The following is a 22,383-nucleotide window of genomic DNA, read 5'->3' as shown; positions in this document are numbered from 1 at the left end:
AGAGCGAGACTCCGTCGCAAAAAAAAAAAAAAGAAATATTTTGAAGCAAAACTCACACATTGTTTCATCCTTAAACATTTCAGTATCTCTAAAAGATAACAATTTTTCTAATGTCAAATATTTCCTCAATTGTCTCAAAAAAATTTTTTTAGCTGGGCACAGTGGCTCACACCTGTTATCCCAGGACTTTGGGAGGCCAAGGTGGGTGGATCACGAGGTCAGAAGATTGAGACCATCCTGGCCAACATGGTGAAACTCTGTCTCTACTAAAAATACAAAAATTAGCCAGGCGTGGTGGCGCACGTCTGTAGTCCCAGCTACTCTGGAGGCTGAGGCAGGAGAATCGCTTGAACCTGGGAGGCAGAGGTTGCAGTGAGCCGAGATTGTGCCACAGCACTGCAGCCTGGGCGACACAACAAGACTCTGTCTTAAAAAAAGAAAAAAAAAAAAAAAACCAGCAAGACTCAATTAAGTCCTTACATTGTCATACATTATATCTCTTAAGTCCTTTTTAAGGTATAAGCTCCTCTTCATCTCTCCTTATCCTTGCAATTTATTTGTTAAAGAAAGTAGCTCTTTAGCCCTGTAAACTTACACAGTCTGGATGTGCTGATTACATCCCTTTATTATATAACATGTTCTTCTGTGCCCTGTACTTCCTGAGAAGCAGAAGTTACATCAAGGGATTTGGGCAGATTTTGGTCAAATTTTGGGCCACTATTCTTCCTAAGTGGTACCGTGCACTTCTGCCTGGAGGCCCAGAATGGCTGCCTCTCTCTTATGATGTGAGCTGCCACTGATAATCTTTGCTAGATCCATTCATTCATCAGAGACTATACACAGTGACAGTCCATCATTCCTTCTGTATTTATTAGCTGGGATATTTTAAAAAGAGAAACTTCCCCACACCAATTACTTGGATGCTCTAAGGTGTAATTCACAGGACAAAAAACTAGGTGCTAGATTATTTTCCTTGTCCACTGACACCACAGTCTCTCTTTCTATCACAATGCAGTGTGTTTTCCTCCAAGCCTCATCCACAAATGCATGCTGTGAGATTCTTGCATCCCCAGTGACCACTTGGATTTGTCATCTGATGCACACGACAGTCCACATGTACTGAGTCACCTGCTATATGCTGATGCACTGACTAGGAGTCAGGGATTCTGAGAAGAAGACTGACCCTGTCCTTGCCCTTAGAAGCTCTTCTTCTAATGGCTCAGGAAGAGGGGACTGCCACAAAACCACCAGGTACAATGCATATGTGTATACATGAGAACATACATGAGAACATACATGAGGGCATGCTCAGGTATGTTCAGCCAGGAGGGGGTCACTAGCCACACCTCCATGGAGGTAGTGACACATATGCACCGGGTGGGCCTTAAAGGGTGGGCAGGAGGAAGACACAGCCTACACAGAAGCAGGAAGGGTAAAAGCACGCAGACGCCCTTCACGTGCCTCTGCAGGCAGATGGCACACTGTGGCTCATTGCTGGCAGGCTTTCCCCAGAAAGGCCTGAGTAAGACGCACATACTAGAGCCACCTTGGACAGAACATGAATGTCCATCTGCTTTGGTGGGGTCTCTCTCTCTCTGCCCTGACTTGGCTGTCATCCTCATCTAATAGGAACAGAAAAGCCCACTGGCCAGCACCTGCTGCCCAGACTGGTCCCACTGCTATTAATCAGCACAAAGCTAAGATTCCAGGGTTTCTGTCTTTCACAAGAGCCCGACTAAATGTATATGCCTACAGATAAAGATGGGAAGAAAACTGGAAGAAATATACACAGTTAAGATGGTGGGACTACAGGTGAAATTCTGTAAGCGCTTTCATGCTGCTGTATGTTGTCTGCTGTATGTTGTTTTGCATAATAAAATGGAATCTGGGGCAGTGAAAGAAAAAGAAAAACACATAAATAAAAAATTCTGTGCAAGCAAATGTTATACAAATGTTATATAAATGTCTGGTTCCCTCTACTCTACCTCTATTCAGAAAATGTAGCACGTCTCCCGGGAGCAGTCATCCGTGGCAAGGAGGAAGTCTTGGGTCTCTTTGTCCTGCCTCCTGCCTTGGGGTTGGCTGAGAATCTCACCCTTCACACTGGGGGTACCACTACCCCCAAGATATGCTTCTTCAGTGTGAGCAGAAACAGGCTCCTTGGTGCATACTAAACAATGACTCACTGACAAAATAAGATCCCTTCACCTCACCCCCAGCTTGACACCCCTCCCAGCAACATATGTTCCTTGTTCTCTTTTCCAGTGGGAAAAGTCTGTGATTAGTTGCAGGGAGAAATTGCCACACAGAGTCCTGGCATCTTCCTTTGGTCTGATAAAGATATGTTCAAAAGAAGACCCAGTGCCCTCAGTAACAAACCCAACCTATCCCAGTTATCTTTCTCTCATCTGTCCCCTCACCGTAGGCACCCTGCCGTGTTCTTCATCCCTTCCTTTTCATCTCATCATCACCCTCCATCCAGCTTCAGCTGCCTCTTGCCTGGACTAGCGGGAGCCTCCTGATAGGACTCTGCCTCCTGGCCCCCGCCCACCAAGCCTTCCCACACAGGGAGCTCATCTCCGAAAAAACCACTTCTGCCAAAGACACCAACTGGCTATTTCATGATATTAAGGAATTGTTGTAATTTTAAAGGTAAATTATAATACCATGGTTTTGTTTTTTTAAAAAAGAGTACTTGTCTTTCCGAGGTACATTCTGAAATATTACAGATGAAGGGAAATGACATCAGGAATTTGATTTAAAAAAATAAAAGAAGCCAGGCTCGGTGGCTCACGCCTATAATCCCAATACTTTGGGAGGCCAAGGCAGGTGGAACACCTGAGGTCGGGAGTTCAAGATCAGCCTGACCACCACGGAGAAAACCCATCTCTACTAAAGATACAAAATTAGCTGGGGTGGTGGCGCATGCCTGTAATCCCAGCTTCTCGGGAGGCTGAGGCAGGAGAATCACTTGAACCCAGAAGATGGAGGCTGCGGTGAGCCAAGATCGTGCCATTGCACTCCAGCCTAGGCAACAAGAGCGAAACTCCATCTCAAAAAAAAAAAAAAAAAATAGTAATAAATAAATAAATAAAAGGAAAACATAAGTTGGATAGAAATGAAATAAGGTCAGCCATGAGATGATTCTCACTGAAGCCGCGTGATGATGGGTAAGCAGGAATTTATTATACCAGTCTATTATTCGTATCCCTTTGAAATTTTCTAATAAAATTTTTATTTTCATTTTTTATTGAGACAGGGTCTTGCTGTCGCCCAGACTGGAATGCAGTGGCGCAACTGAGGCTAATTACAGCCTAGCCTCAACCTCCCAGGCTCAAGCAATCCTCCCACCTCAGCATTCACCACCACTCTAGGCTAATTTTTTGTAGAGATGGGGTCTCACTATGTTACCTACCCTGATCTTGAACTCCTGGGCTCAAGTAACCCTGACCTCTCAGTCTCCCAACGTGCTGGGATTACAGGCGTGAGCCACCACGCCTGGCCTGTAATAGAATTTTTAAAACTTTCAAAGGATTCCTCTTGCCATGAGAATGTGTAAGGACAGCCTAGCATCCAAATTCCCACACTGTCTTTCCAATTCCATGTCCCCACCATACCTCACGTTTGCTTGTTCAATGTTACTTCTGGAAAGCCTAATGTGTGCAGGTTCCTGCGGGCATGACAGACCCTCATACCATACAGTCAAGGTCTAGCCTCCCCTAACATGCTCACCTCACATCTCTACAGGGAGACCCTCAGCATCCCCCAACCCATCATTCAATAAATATCCATTACACACCTACTATGTGCCAGGCATGGCACACAGCCTCTGGCCTCAGAGCACACAGTCAAGTCAGGGAGAAGTCAACTGACAACTGGCTCCCAGCAGAATACTGGTAAGTGCTCTGATGGACGTAGGCCCAGGATGCTGGCAAGCACAGGGAGGAACCTGATCTAGCTGTGAGGTGGAGAGGGGCAGGGAAGGCAGCCCAAGGCAATGTTTTCTCTTCCTCAAGTCTCACCCACCCCCATGTAAACGCTTTGCTTCCTACAATGCCAGTTTGAATCCCACCTCCCATGACACCACACTCTTCCTGCCTTCCCAACCAAGTGTGGTCCCAACAGTGTCTTATCAACTGTTAACACTTACTGTTTATAAAGAGGCCACATACCCAAAGGCCTAGAAAAGCCAGCCAGCTAGCATGACTGAGTGTGTGAGACAAGTTTAAGACCAGAGTGTGAAACCAAGGCATATGCCCCTTCTGAAGTGCCAGCTCACTGTGGCTGGGTGCAGATGTGGACCCTGTGTAAATCCAGTAAAACTGGATTTTTTTTTTTTTTTTTTTGAGACGGAGTCTCGCTCTGTAACCAAGCTGGAGTGCAGTGGCGCAATCTCGGCTCACTGCAACCTCCGCCTCCCAGGTTCAAGCAATTCTCCTGCCTCAGCCTCCCGCGTAGCTGGGACTACAGGTACGTGCCACCATGCCAGCTAATTTTTGTATTTTTAGTAGAAATGAGGTTTTGCCATGTTGGCCAGGATGGTCTCAATCTCTTGACCTTGTGTTCCACCCGCCTCAGCCTCCCAAAGTGCTGGGATTACAGGCATGAGCCACTGCGCCCGGCCTCAAGCAAAACTGGGTTTTATATATTAACTATAATTTTTTTTTGAGATAGGGTCTCACTATGTTGCCCAGGCTGGTCTCGAACTCCTGAGCTCAAGCCATCTGCCCAACTTGGCCTCTCAAAGTGCTAGGATTATAGGCATGGGCCACTGCACCTGGCCAACTTTGCATTACAATAGTCCTAACTTATCTGAGGGGTATATGTTCCAAGATCCCCAGTGGATGTCTGAAACCTAGGATAGTACCAAGCCCTGTATGTACTATGTTTTTTTCCTATAAATACATACTTATGCTAAAGTTTCATTTATAAATTAGGCACAGTAATAGATTATCAACAATAACTAATAATAAATGAACAATTATACCATATACTGTAAGAAAAGTTACGTGAATGTGGACTCTTTTTCTTTCTCAAAATATCTTATTGCACTGTACTCGTCTATTTTTGGACCACAGTTGACCTTGGGTAACTGAAATTGAGCATTGAGAGTACTACAGTATATTATCCACAATATATTGTTTTACATATTATATAACATCATGTATCATGTCATATATATAATGTATATTATATTTTTAATATAAAAATTCATATACAATCTATACAATCCAGATTTTTATATGGAATCTTCAAATTTAAAACCCGGCTCAAATTTTGTTGTTGTTGTTGTTGAGACAGAGTCTCACTCTATCACCCAGGCTGGAGTTTAGTGGCACAATCTCGGCTCACTGCAACCTCCGCCTCCTGAGTTCAAGCTATTCTCGTGCCTCAGCCTCCAAAGCAGCTTTGATTACAGGCATGCGCCACCATGCCCAGTGATACGGTTTGGCTGTGTCCCTACCCAAATCTCATCTCAAATTGTAGTTCCTGTAATCCCCATGTGTCTTGGGAGGGACCCAGTGGGAGGTAACTGAATAATGGGGGCAGTCTCCTCCAAGCTATTCTTGTGATAGTGAGTGAGTTCTCATGAGATCTGATGGTTTTATTTTATTTACTTATTTTTTTTTTTTAGACGGAGTCTTGCTCTGTCACCCAGGCTGGAGTGCAGTGGTGCAATTTTAGCTCATTGCAACCTCCGCCTCCCAGGTTCCAGCAATACTCCTGCCTCAGCCTCTTGAGTCACTGGGATTACAGGTGTGTGCCACCATGCCCGGCTAATTTTTGTATTATTAGTAGAGACGGGATTTCACCATGTTGGCTAGGCTGGTCTTGAACTCCTGGTCTCAGGTGATTCACCCACCTAGGCCTCCCAAAGTGCTGGGATTACAGGTGTGAGCCACTATGCCCACCAAGATCTGATGATTTTACAAGGGGCTTCCCTTCCCCTCCACTCTGCACTTCTCCTTGCTGCTGCCACGTGAAGAAGCACGTGTTTGCTTCCCCTTCCACCATGATTTTAAGTTTCCTGAGGCCTCCCCAGCCATGCTGAACTGTGAGTCAATTAAACCTCTTTCCTTTATAAATTACCCAGTCTCTGGTATGTCTTTATTAGTAGCATAAGAATGGACTAATACAGTAAATTTGTACTGGGGAGTGAGGCACTGCTGTAAAGATACCCGAAAATGTGGAAGCGACTTTGGAATTGGGTAACAGGCAAAGGTTGGAACAGTCTGGGGGTGCTCAGAAGAAGACAGGAAAATGTGGGAAAGTTTGGAACTTCCCAGTGACTTGGAGGGCTCAAAAGACAGGAAGATGTGGGAAAGTTTGGCACTTCCTAGAGACTTGTTGAATGGCTTTGACCAAAATGCTGATAGTGATATGAACAATGAAGTCTAGGCTGAAGTGGTCTCAGATGGAGATGGGCAACTTGTTGGGAACTGGAGTAAAGGTCTCTCTTGCTATGCAAAGAGACTGGTGGCATTTTGCCCCTGCCCTAGAGATCTATGAAGCTCTGAACTTGAGAAGATGATTTAGGGTATCTGGCGGAAGAAATTTCTAAGTGGCAAAGTGTTCAAGAGGAAGCAGAGCATAAAAGTTTGGAAACTTGGCAGCCTGATGATGTGACAGAAAAGAAAAACCCATTTTCTGGGAGGAAATTCAAGCCTACTGCAGAAATTTGCATAAGTAAGGAGGAGCTTAATGTTAATCACCAAGACAATGGGGAAAATGTCTCCAGGGCATGTCAGAGACCTTCATGCAGCCCCTCCCACTACAGGGCTGGAGGCCTAGAAGGAAAAATTGGTTTCCTGGGCCTGGCCTCCTGCTGTGTGCTGCCTAGGGACTCCGTGCACTGCATCCCAACCACTCCAGCCATGGCTAAAAGGGGCCAATGTACAGCTCAGGCATGGCTTCAGAAGGTGTAAGCCCCAAGCCTTGGCAACTTCTATGTGGTGTTGAGCCTGCAGGTACACAGAAGTCAAGAACTGAGGTTTGGGAATCTCTGCCTAGATTTCAGGGGAGGCAGAAGTTTGCTTCAGGGGCAGGGCCCTCATGGAGAACCTCTGCTAGGGCAGTGCGGAAGGAAAAAGTCTCCACTGGGGCACTGCCTAGTGGAGCTGTGAGAAGAGGGCCACCATCCACCAGACCCCAGAATGGCAGATCCACCGACGGCTTGCATCATGCATCTGGAAAAGTGGCAGACACTCAACACCAGGCCGTAAAAGCAGCCCGAAGTGGGGTGGTACCCTGCAGAGCCACAGGGCTGGAGCTACCCAAGGGCCTGGGAGCCTACCTCTTGTATCAGCATGCCCTGAATGTGAGACTTGGAATCAAAGGAGATCATTTTGGAACTTTAAAGTTTAATGGTTGCCCTATTGGATTTCAGACTTGCATGGGGCCTGTAGCCCCTTTGTTTTGGCCAATTTCTCCCATTTGGAATGGGTGTATTTACTCAATGCCCATACCCCATTGTATCAAGGAAGTAACTAACTTGCTTTTGACTTTACAAGCTCATAGGCAAAAGGGATTTGCCTTGTCTCAGATGAGACATTGGACTTGAGTTAATGCTGGAATGAATTAAGACTTTGGGGGACTGTTGAGAAGGCATGACTGTGTTTTGAAATGCAAGGACATGAGAACTGGGAGGGGCCAGGGGTGAAATGATATGGTTTGGCTGTGTCCCCACCCAAATCTTATCTTGAGTTATGGTTCCCATAATCCCCACGTGTCATGGGATGGTCCAGGTGGGAGGTAAATTAATCATGGGGGCAGTTACCTCCAGGCTGTTCTCATGATAGTGAGTTCTCACGAGATGTGATGGTTTTATAAGGGGCTTTTCCCCTACCTTCACTCTGCACTTTTTGCTGCTGCCATGTGAAGAAGGATGTGTTTGCTTCCCTTTCTGCCATGATTGTAAGTTTCCTGAGGCCTCCCCAGCCCTGCAGAACTGTGAGTTGATTAAACTTCTTTCCTTCATAAATTACTCAGTCCCAGGTATGTCTTTATTAGCAGTGTGAGAATGGACTAATATACCTGGCTTTTTTTTTTTTTTCCCCAGTAAAGATGGGGTTTTGCCATGTTGGCCAGGCTGGTCTCAAACTCCTGGCCTCAAGTGATCTGCCCACCTTGGCCTTCCAAAGTGGTGGGATTATAGGCCTGAGCCACCACACCTGGCCCCGGCTCAAATATGTTGAAATACTTTGTGGGCTAAATTAAATGAGTCTGTAATTAAAATTAAGTCCCAATCTAAAAGTTTATAACTTCTGGCCTATTTCATGTTATCCAACACCTACCAGGTATTAGCCTTCCTTTTCACATAAATGCCTTCTCCCTAATTACAAGCTCCTTGTAAAGGAAATATTTCACCCCCTCAAGGGAACAGGGCACTGAAAACCCTCAGGGCTGTCAAGGTGGGGACAAGTCAGTCTTCCACCAAGCACTTACTTCTGACTGGCCTCCATCTCCAACAGGGCAGAGAGAGCTGAGGTTCCCTTCTTCCCCACTGGGGGTGCAGTTGACTCCAGAGAATGCGTGGAAATGGGCCCAGTCATCTGCAAGCCTTTCATGGCGGTCCCTTTCTAAAGCAGAGAAGAGGAGACAAGGCCATCAGCCAAGTGGGCTCTCAGTGGAAGCCACTCATGCCCCAGGGCATGCTGCAGCATTCCCAGGCCCCGGGAATCCCATGGACAGGGTCAAGGAACACAGGTTCTCAGTGTTCAGTAAGTGACAGAAAACCGCCTTTCATTCAAATGCCTGGTCAGCTAAAAATAAACTGCCCCTTTATTTGCACATCCTCATTTCACCCTCACCACAGATCTATGATGTAAATAATGTTAGCCCTATTTTACAGAAGAAGAAACTGAAGCTCAGAGAGGTTAAGGAACTTATCCCACATCCTACTGGAGCTGGAATCCAAACTCCAGTGACCTCACTTCAAAACCAAAGTTCTTCCCACTATCCAAGCTCTCCCAGACACGTTTCTAATCGTAAGTGATGTTGTGTACATAAGGCAGCTGGTGTGAGAGGAAGAATACTGAACTTGAGGTTAAAAACAAAAAAAACATGGCTGATGATGGAACATTCCCTGGTGATTAAAAAGAGTGAACTACTTACACACACAACTTGGATGAATCAGAAGGCATTATGCTAAGTGAAAGAAGGCAGCCTCAAAAGGTCACATATTATGTGATTCTCTTTTCTGTGATGTTTGGAAAAGACAAAAGTACAGTGATAAGGAACACACCAGTGGTTGCCAGGGATTAGAGATGGGGGAGAACATGACTATCAAGACTAGCATAAGTCCAGGCATGGTGGCTCATGCCTGTAATCCCAGCACTTTAGTCCAGGAATTTGAAAACAACCTGGGCAAAATGGGGAAACTCCATCTCTACAAAAAATACAAAAAATTAGCTGGACATGATGCACACCTTTAGTCCCAGCTACTTGGAAGCCTAAGGTGGGAGGTCAAGGCTGCAGTGAGCCATGATCATGCCACCACACTCCTGCTTGGGCAACAAAGTGAGACCTTGTCTCGAAAAAAAAAAAAAAGACTAGCATGAGAGAATTTTTTTGAAGTGATGGTGATGGTTGCATGAATCTATATATTTGTTAAAATTCACAGACCTGTGTACACACACACACACATACACACACACACACACACGTCAATTATACTATATGTTTAAAAAAAATGCTGAATCCCAGTTCTGCCCCTTATAGCTGGCATATTCCATAACCCCCAGAAGCCTGAGTCTCCGCACTGGGTGGTGTGTGACTGAAATAAGGCACAGGGTGCTGGGAACTCTGGAGCAAGAAGAGTGAGGAAGGACTGCTGCTGTTCACCTCCTGAGAGTTTCTACTCAGAGGTTCAGCACCCAGTCACACAAGCAGCTGTGCTCAACATAGGGTCCCACTTGGGGAGCACCTCAAGGCACCATGTCCTCAGGTGGAAGGGAATGGCTCTATGCCACAGAACACCACCCAGTCACTGCCTGCACTCTATCCCTTCCTCCTTTACCCCGCGGTGGAGGAGAAAACACTGTTTTGGATTTAAGGTAAACACTGGGCAGCTGAGGAGTAAATAAGTAGGCTGATGATGAGAGGCCCCTAATAGAGGAGGTGGCAGGCCCTGCATCTCACACCAGGCGCACTCCCTGAGTCTAAGGAGCCCTTACCCGCATCATGCGATCCGAGCGATGCCGCCTGCGAATGCGATTCAAGCCCTCCACAAAGCGGACAAAACCATCCAGGAGTTGCCACTCGTCCTCGTCTGCACGGGGCCTGTCCCCATAGATGTCGCAGTGGGCCTCCCCCTCCGTGATGCGCTTGGTGGCGGTGACACAGGCTGGCAGCAGCAGGAAGCGGGTCCTCCAGAACTTCAGGGACTCAATTAAGCTAAGGGGGCAAGGAAAACACAGGGTGGTGGTGAGAGAAAGGAGATAATGAAAGCACTCTCAGTAAACTCTCTGTGGAGTTGGTGTGTGAAGGTCCATCTCCCCATGAGTATGTGCTCATTTGATGCTACAGCTCATGGCTTTGTTGAAAATACAAGTTCTGAGAATGGGCATGGTGGCTCACACCTATAATCCCAGCACTTTGGGAGGCCGAGGCAGGAGGATTGCTTGAACTCAGGAGTTGAGACCAGCTTGGGGAACATGGCGAGACCCCATCTCCACCTTGTCTCAAAAAAAAAAAAAAAAAAAAAAAAAAGAGCTCTGAAGGAAGACCACAAAGGCAGTTTTTGCTTTGATTCCAGAGATATCAGAATGCTTCTGCACACCCAGGCCCAGTGAATTTGTGGCTATCATCACAATCACAAATCATGCATAGAAATCAAAAATTAAAAATCAGGCGTCACAAAGCTACCAGCCAACTAGTGGAGAGAACGTTAAGAAGGCAATCTGCACTGCCACTTGCATCAAGGGCACGTCATCCCTGAGCTTCATGGGGTTTGTTTTTTCAACTGTGGCAAAATACACATAACAAAAAATTTATCACATTAACCTATTTTATTTTTTTGAGACAAGGTCTTGCTGTGTTGCCCAGGCTAGGGTGCAGTGGCACTATCAAGGCTCACTGTAGCCACGACCTCCTGGGCTCAAGCACTTCGGCCTCCTGAGTAGCTAGGACTATAGGGGTATGTCACCATGCCCAGTTAATTTTATTTTTTTTTATTTATTTATTTTTTGAGACAGTTTCACTCTTGTTGCCCAGGCTGGAGTGCAATGGCTTGATCTTGGCTCACTGCAACCTCCACCTCCTGGGTTCAAGCGATTCTCCAGCCTCAGTCTCCCAAGTAGTTGGGATTACAGGCACGCACCACCACACCCAGCTAATTTTTGTATTTTTAGTAGAGACAGGATTTTGCCATGCTGGCCAGGCTGGTCTCGAACTCCTGACCTCAGGTGATCTGCCAACCTCGGCCTCCCAAATTGCTGGGATTACAGGCATGAGCCACCGCGCCCAGTCAACCCTGTCTCTTTACAAAGAAAAAAAAAAAGAAAAAGGGAGAGAGAGAGAAAGGGCAGAAAGTGTTAAAATACACATACACATCCTTGCCCAAGGATGCAAAGATGGAAATCCAAAGCCCACTCTCTGACCTGAAGTCTTCAGAGCCGGCAGAACAGATATACTGATCTAAGTAATTCCACTTGTACTCCTCCAGCCGTTCGTGGGAGAATTCCACCCAGCAGGAGACGAACTCTGAGTCTGAGTGGGAAGGACAGAGGCTGTAGGTGTAGTGGATCTGGGCAGATTCATAAGGATACCTGCAAAATAAAGGGCAGGTCCCCAAATTCAAAAGAGTTAGAGACAAATTCCTGCCAATTCTTATTTTCTATCTCTATACACTTAGAACCATCCTTGACATTTACCCCTCAACTGTAGTAACCAACTTATCCCAGGGAACGGTACTAGAAATTTCTCAGATCTTCTTAAACTCTTTCCTTCTTCTCTCCTCACAATCTTTATTTGAAATAGGCTTGTCATGAATCATGCTAAACATTATAAGATGAATCAAATCCCTTTTGGAAGTAGGTAAGCTATAACCCTAAAATAACCCTAGAAACAAACAAACAAAACTCCAAAAGAAAAACCAACCACTGAACTTCCTCAGTTTGAATGATGTACTATACACACAATTTAGTATGTGGCCATAATTCAGGACAATAACTGAAGACTTTAAATATCCAAATACTCACTTGGGAAGGTATCGCGTCACTGTGATCATCTTATCCTTCAGCGTCACTTTGTGGAACGTTCTGCCCATACTCAGCCAATACTGGTCCTCCTCCTCAGGGCGGTTTCGGGACACAAGGCCTAACAGAAAAATAATAATTTCCTCCATCTGTTTGAAGCTCATTCCTATAACAGACAATTGTTTCTCATCCATATAGATTCAGAAAACAATGTAACACTTTCTCTTAGGGGCAGTTTCATGGAAGAAAGTTATTCTTGGTTAAAAAAAACAAACAAAAAACTCCTGAGGTTGGCAGATTTTTCTGTTATTAAACCAACCAGGAGCAGATTAGAGCCTGAAGGTGCTAGCTGATAGCACCTAGATGGCACACTCAAAGCTGAACAACCTGATACCTCATCCTCTGGAGAGGAAAGTTCTGTAAGAGATGACTGTGTTACTAAAATGGAACTCTACTACACCAGCATAAGCTGCCCACCTTGGCATTCGAGGTTCTCACTCCAAGGTGGCAGCCAACCTAGCTTTCTGGTCCTAGCTCTCACTAATCCTAAACTGCTATACCAAGTTTCAGTCTAAAAGGACCATTTATTGATTTGCTGCAAATATTTGCTCATGTTGTTTCTTTTTTTTTTTTTTTTTTTGAGATGGAGTTTCGCTCTTGTTGCCCAAGCTGGAGTGCAATGGCCCGATCTCGGCTCACTGCAACCTCCACCTCCTGGGTTCAAGCAATTCTCCTGTCTCAGCCTCCCGAGTAGCTGGGATTACAGGCACGCTCCACCACCCCAGGCTAATTTCGTATTTTTAGTGGAGACGGGGTTTCTCCATGTTGGTCAGGCTGGTCTTGAACTCCCAACCTCAGATGATCCACTCGCCTCGGCCTCCCGAAGTGCTGGGATTACAGGCGTGAGCCACCGTGCTCAGCCTGCTCATGTTGTTTCTTTTGCATTCTCTTCCTGGGCCACCACTGAAATCCCAGATCATCTGAAGTCACCATCAAATGCTACTTCTTCCAGAAAGCCATCAGGCCCCATCAGCAGTCTGAATCCTACCTTGTATATAGTTCCTTGTGCGTATATCTGTCACCCCTTACAAATTAAAACTTCCAGGAGGCCAGGGCTCAAACGTTGTTCCTCCTTACATTTTTAGAAGCACCTGATAAAGTGCCATGTCCAGTATTAGCTGAACTGAACTGAACGCAGGAAAGAGGAAAATAATCAGGAATCAAGAAAATGACAAGTGTTCAAGAGAGTAAAAATCATGCCTCAAAGAACAACCAAGCCAAGCCAAGATTCCTTTGATCTAGAAATGAAAGGCAGTCCTCTTGAGGCAGGAGAACAGGGTCTGGAGGCAGGGAACCTAAGACTAATTCAGGCTGACTTCCTAGAACTAAATCAAAAGGAAAACCCCAACTTTCCACACCTAAGTAACAAAAGGACCGGAGGTTACTCCCTTCACAAACCACTCTCCGCTTTTTCTGTGAGGCAGATGGAAAACTGAAAGTGTCTCTGATTGGTTTGATTTTTACAACCAAACAGACGTTTGCATAGAAGTGTAACTTTGTAACTTCACTTCAGCAACCAATCAGACTGATTGCGAGCCACCACTTCATTTACATAGCGTGTACACCAAGTAACCAACGGGACACTTCTAGAAGGTATTTAAACCCTAAAAAATTCTGTAAAGGAGCCCTTGAGCCCCTATGCTCCAGCTCACTCCCACACTGTGGAGTGTACTTTCATTTTCAATAAATCTCTCCTTTTGCTGCTTCATTCTTTCCTTGCTTTGTTTGTGCATTTTGTCCAACTCTTTGAGGTGCCAAGAACCTGGACACCTTCCACTGGTAACACTCATTCAGCTCTGAGACAGTCACACAGTGACAGGCAGCATGTGAGCGGTCAAGAGGAGAGAGGAGGACAGCAGAGGCTGAAATAATATTCACTGTGAATGTGGAAATTTCCCCGATGGTGCCAAGGGAGTAGCAGGCCAGCTGCATACAAAACAGAAGCTACTCAGGGGACCCCAGGTCCAACCCCAGCACTTTCACTTGCCAGCTTGTGTGATCTTGGGCACCAAATCTCACTTTCTACAGCAAGAAAGAGGGCAAGCCCTCATCCAAGCATTCCTTCTTCATTCATGCAACAAACACTCTGCTGGCTGTTGGGAAGACAATGCCATGGGACAAGGTTCATGAGCATCTGACATCGTACCTGACACCCCCATTCTAAATTAGGTGCACCCCAGTTATTTCTGTGTTTATCCTGCATGGTATTTATTCTTCACAATCTGTGATCAAATATATACTTGTGGTTTATTAGTTTAACATCTGACTCTGCCATAGACTGTAGACTCTGAGGGGAGGGCTGATGCTGTTCTGTTCCCTGCTGGAATAGGGCCTGGCTCACACTTAGTATTCAATAAATCTCTGATGAATAAGCAGCACAGGCCTGGTTGTGATGGCAACTTTTCCAGTAATTAGGATAACAATGGTACCCTTTCTGTTACTATAGAAATTAGAGAGATTAAATTTATCACAGCAAAAAAATAACCAGAAAGGATACAGTCAGGCAAGCAGCCTCTGGCCAACTAACCATCACATGAGGCTCATGGATCAGCCAGGAACAGAACTGGACACAGAGGAACTCAGACCACTGAGGGACATCCACCAGCTATTCCAGAGAACAACAGGTGGGCAGCCTGGAAGGTGCCAGTGACATGAAAGGTGAATTCATCTTATTACTCTTGGGATAAAGGACAAAATCCTTCAGACAGGCTTGGGTCTCCTGACATCTCTGGCTGCACCTCCGGCTTATTCCTTGTGCTCCATCATATCAGCCTTCTTTTTGGTGTCCAGAAAGTATCTCAATGCTTTCTGCCACAGAGCCTTTGCACAAACTGGCCTCTGCCTGTTATGCCCTTCCCTTCTACTCCTGCCCTCCATTTCCAACCTGCCGCTCCTGGTAACTCCTACATGTACTTTGGGTCTAATCTCAAACCTCATCTCCTCAGGGAAGCTGTCCATGACCCACCAGATTAGATAGGGCCCCATATTAAATGTTCTGACAGCCCCATGACTTCTCCCTCAGCCTTTATCACAACATATAATTATATTTCATAGTTTGACTAATGTTATTTTCCCTGACTGGGCTATAAATCCTCTCCCCAGCCAGGCAGAGTAAGTGCTTCAAAGATACTGTAGAATCAATGTGTGAATAAATGGATTCATATATTTATTTTTCTTTTCTTTTCTTTTTAGAGACAGGGTCTCCCTACATTGCCTAGGCCAGTCTTGAACTCCTGGGCTCAAGGGATCCTCCTGCCTCAGCCTCCCAACGTGCTAGGATTACGCCCAGCCAAATTCATATACTTATTAACCCATACTGTTGCATATTACTGTATGCCAGGCATGTAGTTTCCATTGTGGAGGACAAAAAGATGAACAGAAATAGTCTTGGCACTCAAAAAGGTTAACATTCAGTAGGGTCTGGAAGATGAATACAAGGCAACATGTGATAAATGTCACAAGGGGCTTTCAAAGAAAATCCAGGGGGAGTCCAAAGCTTCACACATAAACAACAGGGCCTGGACTGGATGACCGCATGCTCCAACAGGGCCACAGTTCTCTGATCCTCTGGCCCAAGAAGCTTTCATGGGGACAAAGATGATCCAAGGTTATCACTAGGTGATCAGGGGAGGGGGGGTCTTGTTAGCAATAATGAAGAGACAGGAGACTAAGACAGCTCATTGATTGTTCCAGGAAGTGATTACTGCTTTCTGATTCCAGGCACCTGCACTTAATTCCCTCTGTTAGACTTATTTTAGAGGAGCTCTCCATTGCCTGGCTCTGATTCAATTAGCAACACCGATTCTCTGTTACTTACTAGCCTAATCTGCCACTCATAGATGACCCATTCTTGCTTCAAGCCACCAAGCTTCAGTGATAAAGAAGAGACAGATGAATCCAGAATAAGAAAATAAGAACAAATGTAAACTTCAGGTTTAGGTAACATCTGACAATCTGCTGTGTGCCAGGTACTGTACTAGAAACAATTAAATATAGGTTTAGAAACGTTGACAGCTCAGTAGTGACTCAGCTGCCTACTATTCCCAGGTGTCTGTCCAAGCCAGGCTGTCCCATTCCTGAACTTGGCCACATCCACTGCCTTAAAGGGAGAGTTGTAAATTAAAGAGAGCATTTAAAATAAATCCATACCTAAAGGAGACTTTATTCCTCACTTAAGTAGAATTTATAAAGAAAACTTCTATGTCGAAAACGATTACTACTAAATTTATCTACTACCTACCATCTTGAAAACCCACTTCCACATACACAGTAGAAGAGAAAAAAATAGAAATCCAAGGAGAAAAACTCACCTCGGCTATAGAGTGGGCTACTGCTCAGCGGGGGCGGGACAGCAGGATTGGGTTTCTGTGTCTTGGGCTGCACTATGATTTGGTAGCCCTGCATGAGACGTTGGCAAATAAACTCTTCAAATACCTGCTGGGCTGTCATCTGCACACCATCTTCGTCCCTCCTGAAAACAACAGATGATTGCTCATACAGATGCTTGGCCCGAGACAGTGACACTTAAGAGTGCACAGTCTCATCATCTCCTTTGCTTCATCCCCTTATAACCATTCTATGGTGGTTCATAAAACTAACAGTTTGAGCTGGGCATGGTGGCTCATGTCTGTAATCCTAGCACTCTGGAAGGCTGAGATGGGCAGATTGCATATGCATAAGCCCAGGAATTCAAGACCAGCCTGGGCAACATGGCAAAACCCTGTCTCTACCAAAAAATATACAAAAATTAACCAAGTATGGTGGCACGCGCTTGTAGTCCCAGCAGAGGTTGCAGTGAGCCAAGATTGCATCACTGCACTTCAGCCTGGATGACAGTATATAAAAGAGATAGAGAAAAGAAAATATAATAGAAAATATGAAAAAAAACTACTAACAATTTGTAAATCAGTGTTTTGGGGAAAATTAACAGTTCAAAGAGGTGAAAAGAGGCAGGTAACTCAATGCCCAAATGAGTAATTTTAGAAAAGAAGATCAGATTTAGTGTGCCCAAAATAATTGCATTAGAAAATATGAGAATAAACATCAAAGCCAGAACCAACTGGAGTTAAAAATAAATCAATCAACGAGGAGAAATAGTTGATGTCAATAGAACTCTGGAGAAACGAACAGTTCTTACATCATAAAATTACCCACAGCCAGTGCAGCAGCTCACACCTATAATCCCAGCACTTTGGGAGGCCGAGGTGGGTGGATCACCTGAGGTCATGAGTTCGAGACCAGCCTGGCCAACATGGTGAAACCCTATCTCTACTAAAAATACAAAAAATTAGCCATGTGTGGTGGCACACGCCTGTAGTCCCAGCTACTCAGGAGGCTGAGACGTGAGAATCGCTTGAACCTGGGAGGTAGAGGTTGCAGTGAGATGAGACTGCACCACTGCACTCCAGCCTGGGGGACAGAGTGAGACTCTGTCTCAAAAAAATAAAAAAAAAAGTTACCCAAATATAAAAAGAGGACACAGGCTTGAAAATTCAGTGTTCAGCCAGACACAGTGGCTCAAGGTAGTAATCCCAGCACTTTGGGACGCAACAGATGGGCAGATGACTTGAGCCCAGGAGTTTGAGACCAACCTGGGCAATATGGCAAAATAGCGTCTTTATAAAATACACAAAAATTAGCTAGATGTGGTGCTGCCACTCCCAGCTACTCCTAGCTACTTAGGAGGCTGAGGTGGAAAGACTGTTTGTACTCAGGAGGTAGAGGCTGCAGTGAGTTGTGATCATACCACTGTACTCCAACCCGAGCGACAGAGTGAGACCCTCTCTCAGTTAAAAAAAAAAAAGGAAAAAAAAAGATAAAATACAATTCAATGTTTTTTTAAAATTTTTTATTTAACGGCCATGCTAATCTCCTCTATATCGTTCCAATTTTAATATATGTGTTGCTGAAGCCAGCACAAATCCAGTGTTCTGATGCATGTGTGGGATATATCCGAAACCCTCACCAACCAAGCCAAGTGCCTTTTTCTCTGACACTGACCTGTCGATGTCTGCTTCTGGAAGGAGATCATAACAGCCCTCTGTGTAGTCATTCTGCAGGCCCTGGCGGTCAGGGAAGTAGTCGGTGGTAAGGGGGAGGCACGCCGGAGTAGTGAGAGACTTCCAGTCCACTCCAACTGTGCAACAGAAGCCTGGCACTACAGGGGGAGCAGACAGTGTCAGAACTGCCTCACGTAACAGGGGGAAAAGGTACATGTGGTCACCATGGCAAGTGTGGGATGGGGGGCCAGGGGAGGGAAGGGGAGGGAAGAGTGGGGAAAAAAGTTCAGGGTGAAAGATGGTAAAATTGCCAGGATTGGGAAGAAACAGGGTAGGGGAGGGAGAAAGAGAGAGAAACAGAGTTTGTTAGACAATGCAGTGCACATGCTTATCCAATCCCATCATGCAAATGGGATTCACAGCTGATATTTTTCATTTTCTGCTGACTGTGAGCTGCAGCCGCAATGCAGGTGAGATTACGGCAGGGCAGGCAGAATTACATGTCGAAGCACATCAACGTTCCAAGAGCAGGGAGGCCCAAGCACGAGCCTCTCCCAAGGACTGCAGAGTGGCTAGGTGGGGAAAGGAGGGGAGCTCAGCCTCGTTTGGGAGCAAACAGCATACAGTAGCAGAAATAAGGAATACTTCTAGCACTGCAAAAATAAGTAACAGATTCAAAAGGGTGGGAGGAAAAATCAAGTAAGGATATCTGGGAAAGTTAGGAGGCTGGAACTTTAAGAGACAGAGTTTTAACAATCCAAAAATGAAGGCTGCAGTTAGCAGAGCAGTCCTGACCACATGGGTCTGTCCCGAATTGCCTGCTCCTCAGTTAAAGCAGAGTTTCTCAGCCTCGGCAACAACAGAGACTTTGAACCAGATAATTCTTTGTTGTGGGGGCTGTCCTGGGTACCGCAGCAGCATCCTTGGACTCTACTCACTAGATGCCAGTGGCATCCCCTAGCTGTGAAAACCAGAAATGTCTGCAGGCATTGACATGTTCCCCTGGGGGAGGGAAATCCTCCCTGGTTAGGAAAATCCTCCCTGGTTGAGCTTCACTGAGTTAAAATAATAGGGCAGTTACCTCTTTAAGTAATTTAAGTGAAGACTATCTTTTAACTTTCCAAAGAAGGGAGCAATACGAAGCCGAAAAACTCTGAGCGTTTGTCTCTAAGTTCTGAATGGGATACTCACTTTATTTTTGTACCATGCTAACAGCTTATAATGTGTTGTAGCCCCTGCTGCCTCATCAGCCCTCCCGTCAATGAAGAACAAAATTTGTGTGCTAAGTCACAGCAGAAAGATGCCCCACGTGGCACCACTGACTTGGGGAAGATGATTTAGCCTGCAACAGATCTAATTCATGCTCTACACAGGCCTTATAAACTCATTAATAATTCAGGAATCCAAAACATAGGCCCGAATAGCCTAATTAATCATCTCCATTTTTCTATATGGCAGCCGAGAAGGTGAGCTTGTTTTTACTTCCTGGCTAAAACAGAAGATGAGGACCTGATCAAAGCCCCAGTGGGGAAGCCAGAAACAGAAGACAAATCTATCTTTATGTCCTCTTAGATCATCCTGGCCATCATCAGCCTTCTGACCCTCAGGATTACAAAAATCTTGTAGAAATGCTTTCTGCTGGGCACACAACAAGACACAGACTGTTCAAATGCTTAGTTCGAGATCTCATGATGAGAAAGGATCCTGATTGTAAGTTTAAGGGTGTTCTGTCTCTAGGAAAAGAGTGCAGCCTCTTTTCTAACCCCAGTATCTTCTGGTTCTGAAAAGAGGGACTCTGAGGAAGTTCTACACCTCAGAACCACTAAAATAACAATGATGAGCAAAGGTAACAAACTCCGGTGACAGGGTTGTAGAGAAATAGAATCATCTATTCACTGCTGGTAGCTTTCTGGAAAATAGTCAATCTGCCAACCATACTTTGGGGAGTGTAATCCAAAGACATTAACCAAAAGAAAAAATACACCTGCTGCACCATGTATTATGTATTATTATTAACTTCTAATTTAATAGAGACAGGGTCTCACTATATTGCCCGGGCTGGTCTCAAACTCCTGGGCTCAAGTGAAGCACCCACCTCAGCCTCCCAAAGTTCTGTGATTACTGGCATGAGCCACCATGCTCAGCCCACCAGGTATTATCATAGCTGCATTATATGCTATGGCTAAAAAGCAGAAAGCCATCCAAATGGTCATGAATAAGAAATGACTACTCAAACCAAGATACAGTAATATGCTTAATGTTGCCATTACAAATGACTGCTAGGAGGGACCTGAACAAATAGTAAAAGGATTATTAAGTGGGGACAAAGGCTGGGCGAGGTGGCTCACGGCTGTAATCACAGCACTTTGGGAGGCCAAGGCGGGCGGATCACGAGGTCAGGATCACGAGGTTAGGAGTTTGAGACCAGCCTAACCAACATGGTGAAACCCCGTCTCTACTAAAAATACAAAAATTAGCCAGGCGTGGTGGCGCGCGCCTATAATCCCAGCTACTCAAGAGGCTGAGGCAGAAGAATCACTTGAACCTGGGAGGCAGAGGTGGCAGTGAGCCGAGATCACGTCACTGCACTCCAGCCTGGGTGACAGAGCAAGACACTGTCTCAAAAAAAAAAAAAAAAGTGGGGACAAAAAGACTCAGTGATATACATCCATTGGTCACAGCTAAGTAAAGTTTATCAAATGGTAGGATTTTCTCTGCTATTTTATTATTACAGATATTTAGACATTCTCTTACTGCATAGCTATTCAAAAAGACAATCAAAAGGAATGCAATTCAGCCAAATATTTCAACTACAGGCAGGTAAATGATTCCAGTTAACAGCCTATTATGTCTTTCCAACTTTTTCATGGAGATATCATTAGGCAGTTAAGGGTGAAGGCCAGCTCTGGACCAGCATGGGGGCCTTATAGGGAATCTGCTACCTTTCCCAGGTGCCCCTGAATCACCTTCCAAAACAGGTCATTCAGTCACACACCCCCTCACTTTCCATCACAGAGTCCAGAGAGTCCTCCCTCACCACATCGCCTTCCCATACCCCAGAGGTATGTGTACCTCAGGACCACTCACTTCCCACAGGGCTTCCTCTTGTTTCCTCATGCTCTGACCACCCCACACTCCCTGTCTACCCCTTTCCCCAGTCAGCTGCCCCCTCTTACTTGGGTCTGGAGAGGTAGAAACACTGTCCTCTAGAGAATCCTTATTCTGGGTCCTAGGATTCATACCTATGGAAAGATAAAAACAGCTTGTCTTAAGAAGGCTCACTCTGCAAAAGAGTTCTGACCAGTTATGGTTGAAAAAGGCAAACTGGAGCTAAAAATAAAAATGTAAACCAAGTGCAAATTCTGTGCTGAGTATTTCAAACAGTACAAAAGAATCGATCAAAGAAAAATGATCAATCTAAAATTGGGAATGAGCCAGAACTTTACTCTGAGGTTACTGGTATCATTCTTTGCTAAAAGAGATCACACAAACACGAGCAACCTGCCACTTATTTTAAGAAAACGGACACATTTCAAAGTCATTTCAACTAATTAGAGCAATCTTTAGTGAATATAAATGGCCTATTTTTGACAGTGAGCTTTGATCGTGCCACTGCACTCCAACCTGGGCGACGACAGAGTGAGAGAGACCTTATCTCTAAAAAATATATAAAATAAAACAAAATGACCTATTTAAATTTAATCCACTCATCAGCCATCCTTATCTTCTGGAATTTTCTTCCCCAAATCATGGCTTTCTACAATATGACACAGGACATCAAAACTCACTACTTTAACATAAAAACAATGATTTTACCTATAACTGGGCTGAAAGGAAAAACCGGAAGATTCTTTGAAATGCAATTTATTGACTGTCGAGTAATACAATTAATTTTAAAGCACACCTATCAGTACTTAAATGTCCCTTTCAAAACATATATTTATCAGAAAATTCTGATGCCATAAAAAGAATTGAGGTTGAGCATGGTAGCTCACAAGGCCAGGAGTTCAAGGCTGTGGCAAGCTATAATCACTCCACTGCTCCCCAGCCTGGGTGATAGAGTGAGACACCATCTCTATGTAAATACACATAAAAATATTTTTTTAAAAAGGACTGGAAAGATGCTC

The 22,383-nt window shown here is 45.0% G+C and overlaps 1 protein-coding gene and 1 pseudogene across 39 annotated transcripts in view; both read right to left on the bottom strand.

Moving 5' to 3' along the window:
• The window catches only part of DEPDC5 (DEP domain containing 5, GATOR1 subcomplex subunit), a 154,066-nt gene that overhangs the window by 52,621 nt on the left and 79,062 nt on the right, over positions 1 to 22,383 (bottom strand). For 24 of the 39 annotated variants that reach the window (NR_157126.2, NR_146296.2, NR_157128.1 and 21 more), the window contains 7 exons: positions 21,433 to 21,498; positions 18,258 to 18,441; positions 16,568 to 16,728; positions 12,201 to 12,318; positions 11,601 to 11,768; positions 10,176 to 10,395; positions 8,446 to 8,579 (listed from right to left, as the gene is read on the bottom strand). Coding sequence is in view for 33 of the 39 variants with exons in the window: in NM_001364318.2 (NP_001351247.1) it covers positions 8,446 to 8,579; positions 10,176 to 10,395; positions 11,601 to 11,768; positions 12,201 to 12,318; positions 16,568 to 16,728; positions 18,258 to 18,441; positions 21,433 to 21,498 (1,051 nt within the window). In the remaining 6 variants the exon portion in view is untranslated. Of the gene's footprint in view, positions 1 to 8,445; positions 8,580 to 10,175; positions 10,396 to 11,600; positions 11,769 to 12,200; positions 12,319 to 16,567; positions 16,729 to 18,257; positions 18,442 to 21,432; positions 21,499 to 22,383 lie in introns of those variants that run through there. The other 15 variants (NM_001136029.4, NM_014662.6, XM_047441625.1 and 12 more) reach the window with 3 other exon arrangements.
• On the bottom strand, positions 18,115 to 18,175 carry RNU6-201P (RNA, U6 small nuclear 201, pseudogene; annotated as a pseudogene).

Source organism: Homo sapiens, chromosome 22 (assembly GCF_000001405.40).
Source record: "Homo sapiens chromosome 22, GRCh38.p14 Primary Assembly".
Lineage (NCBI taxonomy): Eukaryota > Metazoa > Chordata > Mammalia > Primates > Hominidae > Homo > Homo sapiens.
Note: the sequence above shows the minus strand (reverse complement) of the source record. Positions and strands in the feature narration are given on the sequence as shown.